Consider the following 16387-nt stretch of genomic DNA (forward strand, 5'->3'; position numbering starts at 1 on the left):
TGGAGAGGCAGTAAAAGTATTTTCACTGAGAAGCACATTGTTTTAGTAAGATTATTCTGGCAGCAAGAAGTAAAAAGGGAAGAGACTAGAAAGAGGGAAGATATAGTTGAGGAAAAGATTGTCTACCTCTTGTCATGCTTTAAAACTAAACTCAGCTGGTGTGACTCAAAGATTTTTAAAATTTACAGAGCAGTCAGGGAATTAACTCTCTTGTGGAAAATTCCATTAATGACAGAATCTGGCAAGATAATGTCATTAATAGTAGAGTCTTTGAATTTCAAGACTATATCCAGATGATGTTTCTGCTACTACTACTTCATTTTTCTAGGATACATTTAATTCTTTAAAGTGCTTTTACATTTAAAGTGTGGTACTGCATCCTCACTTTATTTCAACAATGTACAGTTAAGATAATAGCTCACTGTAAGTTGCGGCACTAAAGTTCTACAGGAAGTAAGTGGCTTCCCTGGAAATATCACTCGATTTTGCAACTTGTAACATTTCTCTTTTCCCATTATCTTTCCCTTTTCTAATTCAAGTGAATACAGGAGTGCTGGCTTACCTCAGAAGTAGTCATTAGTTATGTATAAATCCTCTTTTTACTCATTTAAGGAAAGACACTTTTCCTTGTGTATACAACCACAAGTTCTACCTTTTATTTTAGGAAATCAGACTCTTCAGTCATCTGAAATGGTTAAAAAAAAATGTCTGAGAAGGAATAAAGGCATACTTATCCTTGGGAATAGAAGTGTACATAAAATTCCAATTAAATTATTATGTGAAAAAATCCTTCTGCTCCTGTGTTTCTTCCTACATCTATAAGCTCTGTAGGTTTAAACATGCTTCCAAGAGCATTTAACACTGGCAAATTTAAATGCTGATGAGAGGTATTTGAGCTGATCTTTTTCTTCCTCACCGCGCCTAATGGATTACTAAATTTAAGTGCTCAGGGCATAGTTTTGCCCTCCTTTGTGGGTGCCTGGCTCTCATTGACGTCAGTGGGAGCCCTGTGTCTCTGTAGGGCAGAATTTGGCACTTCCATGTAGAATATTTTTAAACTATAAAATTGAATTACAAAGGTATTGCATCTGCTTTTTATATAGTCATTGTTTGGTTTATTAAAGAATGTTTCATAAATCTAGCCAATTCTGCAGGACCTACATATTTAGCTAAGCAAACTATTTTTAGAAATTACACAAAAAGGAGAGTGAACTTCCCTTTCAATTTAAAATCAGGGTTGCTTAGGACTGGATTTACAGAAAAGAGAACAGTATGCAGTTGAAAATAAGCTTATTATTAAACTATGCATTTATTTTTAGCAAACATGCTGGGTAGTAAAATTTAGTTTTGCATTTTCATTGTGAAAACACAAATGAAATTGGTAAACAAAATATTAAACAGACCTTACTACCAACTTAAACATACCATTGCCTCTTTTGTTTTTCTGATAGCATTGGTAGAATTTCATGGAGTATATTTATGGTGCCAGTGTCAGAATAAAGACAACTGAGGGTTCTTTCCGGTTACCTCTGGATCCCACATCTTTAGCCAAAATTTTTATTTTAAACCAACTTTCTTGTGCCCCTTCTTGCCCACCTCTTTCAACTCCAGTCCAGGGGTAGGGCAGGTGTTTCTGAGGGCAGAAGTGGATGGACACCAGCCCGCCTGGGCAGTGCTTAGCAAATAAAATAGAACCATGCTTTGTCCATCATTTGATGGATGCCACAGTCCCTAAGGTCCTGATCCTATCTCTGAAATTTGTTTTCTGAACAGGAGCAATGCCGAATTTTTATTTTTCCATGCATTTGTTGTGTGTCTGAGTAATTTTGATAGTGTATGGTCCTAGATAACGTGACAGGACTTTCACATCCACAGGTCTGCAACACTTTGCATCCTCTGTCATTGGATGTTATCGTCATTGACAGAATATATGTCAAACTCCTTGAGGTCTTTCTCATGTTGCAAGCTGCATTCTAACCCGTTAAGAATAGCATTTTTTGGAGGACTTGCTTTGAAATGTACAGAAAAGAACTCGTACTGAAAACCCTTGGGTTTTTGCTAACTGTGCGGTTTTAACTCTGTTCACAGATTTACCCTCTGAAATAGTATAATGCTCATAATTTTAAGTGTAAAGAGCACACACTTTTGGTAAAATTCAATGAATATCACCTGGAAATATTCGCCTTTGAATTCCAATACAAAAAACTTGAAGAAAAATGGTACCACTGGTAAAAATACTAACATAGGCCAATTCCAAATCTTGGGGGAGATGTAGAAAGTTCCCCTGATTTTGTATTTCATTGTTTTAAGTCTGCTTCTTTGGAAAACATGCCAGCAAGAGCACACTGGGGAGAGAGCCAGACATTTCTGTGATCCCAGCATGTTTGAATGTTGCTACGGTAGACATGAAAATAAACAACGAGAACCTCCTATTCCAAGTGGAAACATTTCTCTTCTTACTGAAAAATTATAGAACCCAACAGGACACAGTAGGAGATATTATAATTCAGCAAGACCGGGAGCACTTGGAATCCTTGGGCTTATATATCATTTTGTTCCACCTCTTCCTTTTATAGATGAAAAAATGGCAAAGGGGAGAAATTAAGTGATAACTGCACAGCCAGGTAGTGACAGAGTTGGGACTGAAGCTGGGTTTCCTGGCTCATTATTCCAGTGTGGTTTCTTCTTCAGTAGGCCTGAAAAATTTTTAGAAACTATTTTTCCCCCTTCCTCTTGCCCTTCTCTATGCCTTCCACACTCAGAATTCCAGCAGGTATCCCTGGTGATGAGGGGATGGGCTGGTGGCATTGCTAGTATTTGAATAATCTCTCCATGTATTGGCAGGAAAAAATTGAATTTTGCTTCTCTCTCCTCCCTCCCACCCTACCACGTTACTCTTCTCTGCGAATGTTTAAACAACGTTCTGGTATGGCCTTTGGACTATACCCTTCATGAAGTGTGTTTTATAACACACCAATAAACACTTGCCCAATGTTCTCTTCCTTTAAATCTCTTTTAGGTGACTTTGGAAAACTGAAAAAAATTGGCATTTTAACAAAATACTTCAGGCTGTTTACCCAAAGGTTTGACTAAGGGTGGAAATTTCTAGGTTCTGTCAGGTTGGTTGAAAGGACTTTTGAGCACAGTAATCATTTGGTATAACACAAGTCACAACAAAGGTGACTATTCTGTCCATTTGTAAGTCAAGCGTTGGCTTCTGTTTTCTGAACTTTGTTGAGACTGGAAGGGATGTCTAAAACACTCTTGAAAGGGACATTCAAGAGTGTTTTAGAGTTTTAGCATAAATGTCATTGGTGCATAAAACCCACGGAGGACCTATGTGCTCTGAAGGGCTTAACTCCAAACAAAGCAAAACAAACAAAAAGTGAATTTTAGAGTCACTGAGACAAGATCAACTTGTAGATATGTTCCCCTTCCTTATTGAGATATAACTTACGTAGAGTGAAGTGCCTAAAATGTAACTGGCTAATCTGTATACGTGTATACGTCCATGCAACCACCTTTCAGATCAAGATAAAGAATATTTCCAGCATCCCAGTAGGCTTGCTCATGGAAATACTTGTTAAAATGTTCTCACAGTCTTTTGTAACACCACTAAATATTTATAATGTTTATTTGGCTGCAGACGTTAATGTCGTGGTAGCCATATTTTTCCTCTTCCACTTTACCCTCTAAACTTAAAAGTGCACATTCTTTATCAACAATTATTAAGATAAGAGGAAGATGATGAATCAGCAGATGAAAGCTGAGCTCTGTAATTTTATTAGCCATTAAACTTGGCTGGCAATAAGAATTGGGCCTAATTCCTCTAAAAACTTTTTTTTTTTAAACTGTGTAGGACTTTACTCCTATTCTTCACAAATTCCTTTACAGGAATTGTTTAAAATACATAGCAGGAGTAAGGTCAATAGCAATATCCTGATTACAAGTTTTGTCTGCCTCCAAGGAACTAAAAAACTGTGTATCAAATCTGTTTTCAGTGTCTTTTGGGTATCTAGAAGGTTTGAATGGAGAAAGTTTAGTTGTGGACAATTAAGGGACCTATTTAAGATCATAAAGAAAGGTCAGTTTAAACCATATGAAAATTTGGTTCTTTTGAGAAATGAAAACATTTAAAATGTTAGAAACTGTAATCTCATTCTTCCAGACTTTATGTTTGAACTTTCCACTGCTTCTGCCAGTCATCCCTGGACTCCTAAGATTTTGAGCATTTCATTTTGCCATGAGAGAAACTAAACCCGTGGTTTGGGGTTCATTGTATTTAAGACTTGTGCAAGAGCCTTTAACACTTCACTACTTCTGCTCTAAATAAAGATTCCTCTCTTCTAGGAATTTAGAAAATATGACTTCCGCTTCAGTGATTTGCTAATAATAAAAAAGGACAGAAAAAATGAAAGTTTTGTTTTCTTTTTGGTCAAACTTATTTTTTCTTTGAAATATTGCAAATAGCATATCAAGGTATAAACACTTGTCTGGATCTAAAACATTGTTTTGTTTTCTATTTTGGGGATAATCTTTCCTTTTGTCTTCTTTGCTTGAACTTTTCCCAGAGAGAGGGGAACACTATCTTATCTCACATGATGTTCATTAGCATTTCAGAGTTTAAGTAAATGAATGGATTGTGCAAGTATTGAAATGTTTTTGCTTCAGATTATTTAGATAACAAAATTGAGCTGACTTTCTTAAAGCATTAGTGTTTCTTATGTCATAATTTAAGATTTTGATTTCTGGGCCAGGCGCAGTGGCTCACACCTGTAATCCCAGCACTTTGGGAGGCCGAGGCGGGCGGATCACGAGGTCAGGAGATAGAGACCATCCTGGCTAACACGGTGAAACCCTGTCTCTACTAAAAATACAAAAAATTAGCCGGGCGTGGTGGCGGGCGTTTGTAGTCCCTGCTACTCGGGAGGCTGAGGCAGGAGAATGGTGTGAACCTGGGAGGAGGAGCTTGCAGATCGCACCACTGCACTCCAGCCTGGGCGACAGAGCGAGACTCCGTCTCAAAAAAAAAAAAAAAAAAAAAAAAAAAAGATTTTGATTTCTGGGTAAGATTGTTGAGAATTGGAAACTGGCAATTCAAATGGTGAATGTCTTAAGGATACTTAACATTTCTGCTTTTTTGTAAGATGGAAACTTTAGAGTATGAAAGGTATATGTAAATGGAAGGCAACAGTGCAGTGAAGTCATGCCATTTTCTTGGATTATTTTTACTAATAGGATATTCATATTATTTGACCTTTTGCTCCCTCTGTCTCCACTGCATTTAGTTGTGGCATCCAGAAGAGGGAAGGTGAGTTTCCCGCTGTATTCTCCACTGGCAGATATGACATGTATAAGGTTGTATTCTTTTGGGGGAGTCACACTTGGGTAAGCCATTCGTGGGCAAGAAAGAGACCAAGAAGATGAGTTAATATCTCTGTCATATGAAGTACAGTGAAAGGAACTGGGCATATTTAGCTCATAGATGAGAAAATGTTTAGGAGAAATATAAAGTAATTTTCACATATTTAAAGGGCAGAGAGGGGTCACAAGCATATTCAATGATTTATGACCCCAAAGGGTAGCACTAGAATTGATGGTTACTAAACCATTTTGATTCTTATTCTATAATGTCTTCTGCTCCTTTCTATTTCAAAGTTAATATTTTAGTTCACATGCTCCTTAATATTAATACTTCCTGATCTATTGTAATAAGGTCTCCACTTATCTCCCTGCTTTGAACAGTTTCCCCTTTCAATCCAATATGTATATTGCTTCTAGCTTAATATTTCCAAAGCATAGTTATTATCGTATTACTTCCTTGCTCAAAACCTGTCAGCTGTCCCCTATTGCAGCAGTATCCTGACTGGGGTACACGTGTTGCGGGAGGCTTACAAAGACTTCTCAAGAGATACTTAGGCATAGATAATTTTATGATTATTAGTATCCAAATTGTCAATTTTTTTCAAATTGACCTGCCTGCTGTGAAGATGGGATGCAATTTGTGAGTTTTCCTTTCCAGTGATTTCTTATACAATTGCCCGTCTCCGACCTGACAAAAGAAATGCCTAGCCTACTCATCCTGAATCCTGTGCATTAGCCCAGGTTGCAGAATTTCTGGTGTTAAAAAAGTGGCAGCTTGGACTCTAATAACATCCTCTTGTTGATAAGATAGTATCTCATCCCTTGCTGTGAATAAAATTAAGGTGAATCTAATTGAATTGTTAGATGATAGTTCCAAATAATTTTTTATGATAGATCATTGTGATTTCTGCCATATAACCCAAAGGTCCAGAGAATTACATGATATTTCTATAATAGAACTCATTTCACTCTCATATACTTATTTATATGATGCTTATAAACATCTATAAAAGCAAAAACTAAGGCATAGAATTGATGCTGAATCTACTTTTTGTGATAAATAATATTCATCCACTTATACGTGAAATAAGTTTTTTAAAAAGGCTTAATCTAAAAAAAAAGGCAGACAATGGTGCAGTGCCTTTAAAATAATGAGGGAAAATGATGTTTAAATGAGACTATATAACTAGTCAGATTATAAATCAAGTGCCAATAAAGACATGTGCAAACAAAATGAATAAAAAGGCACATCTATCTTATTGAGGAATACATTTCTAATAATATTTTTACTTTTATATTTAATAATGATTTATCAAAATTTGTCAAATATTTATGTTTTAACCAATTGTGTTCTGATAATCATTGTAATGATAATTTACTGTAGAACATTTTTGGTAACAGGAAATAAATTTCCTTTACATCTCAAACATATTTTTGTTTCAGAGAAGTAAAAAAGTGTGATTGAAAAAAGACTGGGGAATTTTAGGATAAAATTCTATGGAAGAAAGGGAATGAAAACAGGAGTTCAAGAAAGAAAAACAAACTGTAGAATTTCTAACAGAACATGAGCATATATTTTTCAAATAAATGATTTTGAATTCCAATGGATACATTAAAAGAATGCTGTAGCAAGCATTTTTTTAAGTCAGCATTTATAATGTTCCTGGAAATTATATTCTTGCAAGTATTTAAACTATTTATGATATAAAATATAACATCATTGTAAAGACAAAATTGTACAAGGAAGTATACAGCTTTTTCAAAATTCTTTGAGGTATATTTGAGCAAAATATTTGAAGGCCTTGGAATAGAATCCAAAATCTTTAGCATGGCAGTGACAGTCCCATCTATGTTTTCAGCTTTTAATTTTTTATTATTATTCTTCACCTACCATAAATACTTGCCAGACTCTCCTACTTTCTGTTCCTGGAAAAAGTTCTGCATTTTTCATTGTTTGCACCATTATCTCCATGTGGAATGCCCTTTTCTTCCCCTTTTCCACTCTAAAAATTCTACCCATCTTCCAAAGGACATATGAAGAGCCTCTCTTTCCTGGAGCTATTCTTGGTTCTATCCTCTGACATCCTACAGCACTTTTCCTTTTATTTAGTGGTCATCTAGTTTATCCAACTTTACCTCTGTATTAGAATATTTGTGGTATACAGATGAATAAATTGTGTTCTTCAACCTTGACTAGTTCCCAATCTGTATTTGAAATCCCCATATTCAATGCAGAACAAAAATTAGAGACTTTTAGTCACTGCATATTGTTTCATGCACTGATATTGAGGTTTTTAAAAATTTCCTAACCAAAATAATTTTCTTCAGATTTTGTGAATCCAAACCTCCTATCAGATAACTTAACTACATTCTTTCTATCTATTTCACATTTACTGCTAACAAAGACTATAATCTGGGAAAAAATGGATTTTCACCAGATAATACACCAGCTGGTGTTTTCTGTTTTACTGGTGATGTATTACTCTGTAGCAAGTGTAGCAAGGTCTTACTTATTCTCAAAAACATGTAGATATATCCAGTGCTGGAAAAAAAAATCTAAATTAATTTAATAGAATAATATTTATCTTTGTGCAAAGAGAAAGTATATTTTACATAGAAAGATCTGAAATGCCTGTTTAAGAACTTGATGCACTGTAATACATTTTGATTGGGGTGTGTTTAAAAAACAAAGCAAAAAGCAAATAAGAAAAGGATGCTGTGCAATTAGATTGCCTCAGACATCAAAAACCTGTATATTTATGTTGTACTTGCCTACACAGAGGAACACTGACTTGCTTTGGACACAAATTCTAACAGTTGGGGTAAGTAGCAAACATGAGTGAGAAGAGACAGGCTATACTAGACAGTGAGCTCCTTAAGGGCAGGAGGTGTGTTGTCATTATCATTATTCCCATTACATATTTTAGAAACAGAAACAACCATTACATATTTTACCGTATTTCTTTCCAATACTTAAAACAACCCTGAAAAGCAGGCGATTATTAAAATGATTATTAAATCATTTTAAATTATTAAAGTGATTATTCTCATTTTACAGATGGTGCAGCTGAGGCTCAGATATGTAAAGTAACTTTTCCAAAGTGACACTTTAGAAATGCAAGATTGGAGATTCAAGCTTGGATTTCTGTTGACGGCCTTACTTCTGAAATACCTTGCAAAATTATAAAATGAAGAATAGTAGGCATTGTTTAAATATTTATTGAATGTTAAGAAAAAAAAAAAAAAGGCTGGGCATGGTGGCTCACGTCTGTAATCCCAGCACTTTGGGAGGCCGAGGCTGGCGGATCACCTGAGGTCAGGAGTTCAAGACCAGCCTGGCCTCCAGCCTGGGCAACACAGCGACTCTGTCTCGAGGAGGGGTGGGGGGAGGGGCAGGAAAAAAAAAAAAGCTTTGTGACAGGAAAGTTTGCAGGTCCTGATATGCTTTGGTTGGAAGAGGAGGCTCTATAGAAATAGCAGCAATAAGAGATAACTGCCCAGAGTTTTCAGGTTGGGTGGAACTCAGATTTTACGACCGTAATTGAAAGAATTCCTAAGCCTCCCCTAGTGAAATTTTTCTGTTAGGCACTTGGAAGTAACTGGCAGTTTCAGGGAAGCAATTGAGAAGGAGGTATTTCCTTTGCTAAAAGGATAATAGTTCAGCTTATTCTTTCTCATAAATGGAAAAGAAGGACAAGAGCATTTGGATTATATATAATTTGCATGTTACAGTACATAAATTGGTCACTGCCTGATGTGCAGTGATTTTTCCCCAGTTTCAAATTCTTTGGGAATGTGTTTTTATTCCCTGTATTTTAAACATATGTTGTGAAAGGGATTAGTCATATTATTCTATGACTTTGCTTCCCTGCCAGGCAATAATTGGTAATTGTTCAAGGGTAGACAACAAACTTGAGCTAGTCTAGTCATAGACAGGGTTACAATTTATTATCCAAATGGGGTCATTTTTTCCTCAACTTTTTATTTTGAAAAATTTCAAGTATACCAGAAGTATCAAAAGAATAATACAATAAATACAATATGCTGAATTACCTAGATTCTACAACTGTTAACGTTTTGTGACATTTGTTCTATAGCTCTTTCTCTATCGATATGTCCTTTTTTCCAATTCATCTGAAAGCAAGGTGCAGACATTATTACACTTTTTCCTTAAATACTGCAGCGTGTATTATCTCACAGACACAAAGAATATTCTTCTTCATAAGCCCAGTATTGCCATCACACCCAGCTATTCCCCAAACATTCTTTGTAGGTGTTCCTCCACTTCCCAGGATTATGTATTTCATTCAGTTATTATGTTTTGTATTCTTTTTAAATCTCCTTTTCAATATCATTTATGCAACTGACATTTTTCAAGAATCCATGATGATGATATTAATCCAGAACGTCCCACAATCTGGGTTTTTCTAATTTCTTTCTTATAATTAGCTCCAGATTAAACATTTTGGCAAGAATGCTAAATAGGTAATGTTATGGAAACAGGCAAACTTTAGAGACTGGGAGGGTGCATTATTAGTCATTATGCTGAAACTACAGGTATAAACTGGAATGTTGGGCCATGCTAATCATAGAACCCCACCTACAGCCAAAATAGCTAGTCTGGGAATTGGCACAGGATCTAAAATGGGCCAATAGGAGTTCTATTTTTTTTAAATATTTTAAATTGATCTGAGGAAAAAGGACTCCTACAGATTGTTGCTAAGCTGTTTGTCTGAAGCTGGGAAAGATTTAGATGTAGGTAGAAAACACAGTAAGAGGGTCCTGATGGCATTTGTCCTTTCATTTCAGGTTCTCTCTTAAAATCAGGTTCACCTTTGTTCTTTTAATACAATTTATTGAACATTTATTATGTGCTAGACGATTTTTAAGTGCTTTGCATGTATTAAATCATGTAATCCTCCTAACACAGTTCCATGAGATGGTTTTTATACTGTCCCCATTTTAGAGATGCCAAGGAAGGAAAGCTTGATTTACTTGCCAAAGATTTCACAGCCAAAAGAAGATAATGGAACCAAAAGAAGAATCCATAGCACATGATCTTGATCACAGTGGTAGGGTTACACCAGAAGGGATGAGACTCCACCTACTGTTTACTCTTGTGCTTAAACTAGTCAGCTTGGATTTTTGTCTGCAATCCCAGAGTCCAGGTTAATACACTTATGACTTCCAGTCTTCAGATATGAATGGATAAAACCCCCTTCTCAGACCCTGTTTTTGCCTCTTTTAGACACAGGCCTTCATTATGATTAGGAGCGTGCTCTTAATTAGGAGTTTTCCAACAATTTGTTTGTAAGGCCCTACAGGATATTACTGTAAGGAGTACATTAATAATGAAAGAATTTTGACAAAGACAGGGTTGAAGCTTTGATAATAACTGTTTAGTCAAACCTATTAAAACATTGAGGACATCAATTAAGAGGAAATAATATTCTACACATTGAACCTCTTTCACTATATTATTATCTAAAAGCAAATTGTTTTAAGAGGCTCTATTCTTAATGTGTTGGAAGACTGTGTACTCAGTTTTAAAATACAAAACAGAAGTTAGTATGAAGGAAGTGGTCTTCTTGATGACAGGGACAGATGACAGGGTATTGTGAAATTTTAATATGTAGCATGATTGGTTGTAAATTGTTCCCACATAGCTGAAGTAATTTGCAAATAAGAGATGATGAGTCAGATCTTCCATGGGTATGGTAATACATGCCAGTGAATAAAATCTGAAGTTACATCGGTATGATTTAATTTTGAGTTACATTGCTGTCAATTCATGTATATCAATAGAATCACTCCAAGTTTTAGGACTCCAGGTATAAGTTTTAGGATGTGTGTGTGTGTGTGTGTGTGTGTGTGTGTGTGGTGGTGGGGGGCTTCCTGAGGCTAAAGTGCAGTGGTGCAATCACAGCTCATTGCAGCTTCAGGTGTTCACCCACTACACCCAGCTAATTTATTTTTTGTGAGGACAGTGGCTCGCTATGTTGCCCAGGCTGGTTTTGGACTCCTAGCCTCCAGCGATCCTCCCACTTCCGTCTCCCAAAGTGCTGGGATTTCAGGCACGAGCCACGGTTTCTGGCCTGATATTTATGTTTTTAAAGATGAAATATAAAACTAAGATATCGTCCAGAGGCATAAGTTCTATACCCATTTTTATACTAACCATCAGTATCTGAGTATTTTTCACAATAAATTTGGAATCAACATTTGACTAAGAAGATTAAAGAAGAGTCACATATATGGGTTAAAGGAAATAATGTTTCTGTTGATAGAGCATCTTTACACGGGAGCTGTTGTCGCTTCTATTTTAAAGAAGGAAAGGTTGAGTCATCAAGCTACTTGTTTCAGGTCAGTTAGTAAACAGTGGATCTGAGACTAGAACTCGGGTTTTTCCCACTGCAGAGAACAAAGATTTCTGTCACATGCTGGTGTTTAAGAAAGAATAAATGGTGTAGAATGAGTAAAAGAAAGTAATCATGAGTGTAGCACAGGATTGGCGGTAAGCCTTGATTTAGAATATTTGCTGATGTAATAAATATGCTAAAGAAGGGTTAAACAGTGTGATCGTCCAGTTATTTTGATTTTATGTAATTTCTTTCCTTCATATGTAAAGAGAATCAAATATTAACGCTGGTACTGATATACAAAGGTGAACTATATTTCAACAAATATAGATTAGACTTTAGTATATTTGTAATACTGTATTACTGAAAAATAGCAGAGCTTAGAATATTTTTACACACATTTTCCCAGCTTCTTTTATTCCTAGGGGCATAGACATATGAAGTATTATGGTGCCAAGTTATATTTTTTATTTCTAGTGAATTTTTCCTTTGACTGTAGGCTAAGATATTTTAGTCAGACTTCATTTCTTTTAGGAATTGCTTTAGCAGACCTAGACTAATTTTCAAGAGTGGATTGAGTTATTTTTGAATACTCATGTCACATATATTTTCTCTTATCTGGTTTTTTTCGCTTAGTAGAAACAATTTGTCCTTCTCTTTTAAAGTCCATGAGAAATATACATTTATTAACCTCCCATACTACCCCCCCATTACATGTACATGCAAGTATAGATTTCATCTTAAATTAATCCCTCAAACGCTGCTATCAGAAAAGACATTTTAAACTGTCATAACAAGATCTTGCTGGTGACAGCAGACTTGGAGCAAGGCTAGAGTGTGATTCAATCATTGTTAAAAGTTCATGTTCCTCTCATTACATTCTTGCTTTTAATTCTCATAACCAGCCAGCAATGACAGATGAAAATATGAGCTATTTCTTTGTGTTGGCAAAATCACAATTCAAGAAGACATAGTTTCCTTAGTTATTTTTACAGTATATTGTTTATAGTACTTGATATGGTTAGATGAAAAAAAATCTACTCAAACTTTTTTTTAAAGATAAAAGGAAAAGCCTTGAAATGTTTAGTTACATAACCCTAATGAAATATTTTCTTCTGTCTGCATAGGTACAGGTTATTCTGATGGGATCCAGAACTAAATGAGGCATAAACCTCAAATATGTTTAACATTATGCTAGGTAGTATATATTTTAAAAATGCGTTTACATATGCTATAGATTATCTCCCTAGAAAATTGTTATATATATGTGTCACACATATGGTATTTTGCTTACAATTTAAGTTGTTTGTGAACCTTCTGATGCACATTCAGGGATCCAAATTAGGCACCACTGATCCATTAGCAACTTGTGTGGTTGCTATGGAAATGTTGGGTAGTGTACTTTTAAGTTACTAAGGCTGACTTGTATAAGGCACCTGTTTGGTGTTTTGGCTCAACCCTGATTGGAGTGGGGTCTCTCCTTGGTCTCTCTCTGTACCTGTATAAGACCCCTCTGCTCTCTCAAGCTGCTTCACTGGCACTATACACAGGGCAAATTCTCAAAACTTTTCTTCATTGTAATCACTTTTATTGAAAAATATCTTATTAATGGCAGTACATCAAAACGTGGCATTTATTTCCTCCTTCCTCCTCTTCTTTCTTCTTCTTCCTTCTTCTTCCCTCCTCCTCTTCCTCCTCCTCTTTTTTCTTCTTCCTGTTCCTCCTCCTCCTCCTCTTCTTCTTCCTTCTTCCTCCTTCTTCCTTCTTCTTTCCTTCTTCCTTCTTCCTTTCTCCTCCTTCCTCCTTCTTCCTCCTTCTTCCTCCTCCTTCCTCCTCCTTCCTTCTCCTTCTTCCTTCTTCTTCCTTCTTCTTCTTCTCCTCCTCCTCCTCGTCCTCCCCAGAGACAGGGCCTCACTCTGTCATTCAGGCTTGAGTGCAGTGGTGCGATCATAACTCACTGCAGACTTGGCTCCTGGGTTCAAGCACGCCTCTTACCTCAGCCTCCAGTAGCTGTGACGTGCATGCCATGACATCTGGCTCTTTATTTTTGTAGAGATGTTGCCAAGGCTGGTCTTGAACTCCTGGCTTTAAGCAATCTTCTTGCATTTGCCTCCCAAAGTGTTGAGATTATAGGTGTGAGCCACCATTCCTGGCCCTGGCATTTCATAATTCCCAGATGCACTTGCTACACCTAAGCATTTTTGTTTTTGTTTGAATTTTCAGTGAGAGCTCCCTTTGCCTCATCAAATTTCCTCTCCCAAACCCTAATCTCTTAACAAAACTGGAGTTCTCTGTCTGTATTTACAGCTTCTCTCTCCTTTTGCTAGATTAATGAGAAGCAGTTTCTCTATTAGTGAGTGGAAAAAATTGGAATTTGCTGTTGCCCACAAGCCATTCAATAAAGAGCTACACTATTTCCCTATTTCCTTAGGAGGATCAATGAGTATTTTTTTGGTGATAAAATATGGCATATATAACTGGGCAACAATAAAATCTTGAGAAATTAAGGATTTATTTATAGTTCCTCTGAAAATTGCCTACGTTTATTCATATATTTATAGTATTACAAAGTTACATATGAAGCAATAACTTACTGATACATTTGTAAAGACTGCCTAAGGAATTCAAGAAGAAGAACTTAGACATTTTGATACCCACAAAGGGCCAAGTTATTAAAACAACTTGAAACCAGTTGTCTATATAATGAAGACTACCTAAAGGAAAAAAATTACATGTGGCCACTGACTGTGAGCTTTCATTGTCTTTGCAAAGCAATTTATTAAAAGATTGGAAATGTGAAAGAGAGCTGGCACAGTTACAAACTTCAGAGCATGCTGCACATGGTAAACTATTGGCAAACAAAGCATAGGACAAATCGTGGGCATACAAATTAATGTACAAAGGAAAGTCTTGCAGACATATGATTGAAATTCCTGATTAAGTATTTCAATTTAAACTCTACTGAATTTGGGTACTCCCACAGCAAAATCTTATCTTGCTTCTGTTAGAAAGAATTATTGAAGAAGTGTCCAGTTAAAGCTGAAATGATTATGACAAGCCTGTGTTATAACTATGTGGTAAATGTCTAGTCTTAGCTCTAATTGGTCTTATTTTAATGTGTTTATTGTTTAATTGCTTGTGAGAATGATTTATTCTTTCATAGAACTGAGATTAATGGTAACTGGCAGCTTTATTGGCATTGCTATCAGAGAAATGACCAAAAGTCTCAAAATAGAATTGAGAAGACAGATTCTAGGCACAGGGTAATGTCAGACTAATATAGCTACATGATAACTGTATTTTAAAAGTGTTACTACTGCAACGTTTTTTAGTGTGTCCATTAATGTCATTTTTCATTTTCATTTTTTAATGTATGGGGTTGAGATGATACTATGGGATTGAGTATAATTGCCTTTTATAGAATGCGTGGGACTGATATTTTCTAAAAATGGACAAAAATCCAGCACTTAAAGCCATTAATTTGAAACCCTAAGGTTTCTTATATCTTCTGTAGAATAATATTTTTGGTGAAAGTTTGGAAAACTATGTGCAAGGATAACATCTTTTGGGTATTCAATTTTGTTAGATTGCTCTAAGCCTTTACGTATATTTGGAATCTACGTCATATATGTACAAAAGTGGCCTTGCCACTTACATAGATTCATCTGTTGGTAGATAGAAAAAAACCCGATATATCCTTTGCATATTCATGTTATTGTTGTGTTTTCTATGTCAGGTCAGATTTTCATATTAACTAGCTTTGGAGGTGGGCATTGGAGAAGACTGCCATTCCACATATTACGCATTTTTAAATATAAATTCAGATTGTTACAATACAGCTAAACATGATGAGAGGTCTTATATTCTTCAGGGAACAAAGTTCAATAATACAGGGAATGCATTTAAATGGGAAAATATAACCTATAAAATATAAGAAATTGCACGATAGCTATTTGGTAGAACAGAATGAAAACTCAAGATTTCAGTGAAGAAGAACCTAGAAAATATATTACTTTGTTTTCTATTGTTTTTTCTTTATTATGAAATATAATATGTATGTAGAAAAATGTATAAAACAAATACTTGTCATGTGGACAAATAATTATGTGGTAAACACTGTACAATCACCATTGAGGTCAAGAAATACAATGTAGCCAGCTCCCAGGAAGTCCTCAACCATGTTTGTCCCTCTCTCATCACAACCTCATCTCTTTGACCTAGAGATATCCATTCTGTGGTCTTTTCTCATAAAACTGTAAAGAAAAGTAGGGAGCACTAATCCCTCATATCCATCTCTAAAAACTGCATTTTAGTTTAGTTGTTTCTTTAAAAAAGAAACTCTGCTTGAATGGCCTCATATATTTCTTTTTGCCTACCAACTGTATCTCAGTATTACATTTATGAGACATATTCACAGTCATATATGCTATAGCATAAAGTTTATTTTCATTGCTGTATAGTATTTCATTGTATGACTACACCACATTTATATCTGTCCTACCATTGGAAGACATTTGGCTTGTTTCCAGCTGTGACTGTCCTTGTACTTGTATTCGAGTGTGCATTTATACTAATTTCTCTAGACATGAAATTGTTAAGTGGAAGGAATGCAAATCTTCAATTTTACCAAAAAATGTCAAATGGTTTTCCAGCAATATATGGGA

The 16387-nt window shown here is 35.6% G+C and overlaps 1 annotated feature.

Annotated features, from left to right (window-relative positions):
* Positions 11594 to 11703: an enhancer, noted in NCBI's record as "active region_6084". NCBI's record gives its function as "activates an Ori minimal core promoter by ATAC-STARR-seq in GM12878 lymphoblastoid cells {active_cell/tissue: GM12878}" and the evidence as "EXISTENCE:reporter gene assay evidence [ECO:0000049][PMID:35858748]".

This window comes from Homo sapiens, chromosome 12 (assembly GCF_000001405.40).
Source record: "Homo sapiens chromosome 12, GRCh38.p14 Primary Assembly".
In the NCBI taxonomy this organism is placed as follows: domain Eukaryota; kingdom Metazoa; phylum Chordata; class Mammalia; order Primates; family Hominidae; genus Homo; species Homo sapiens.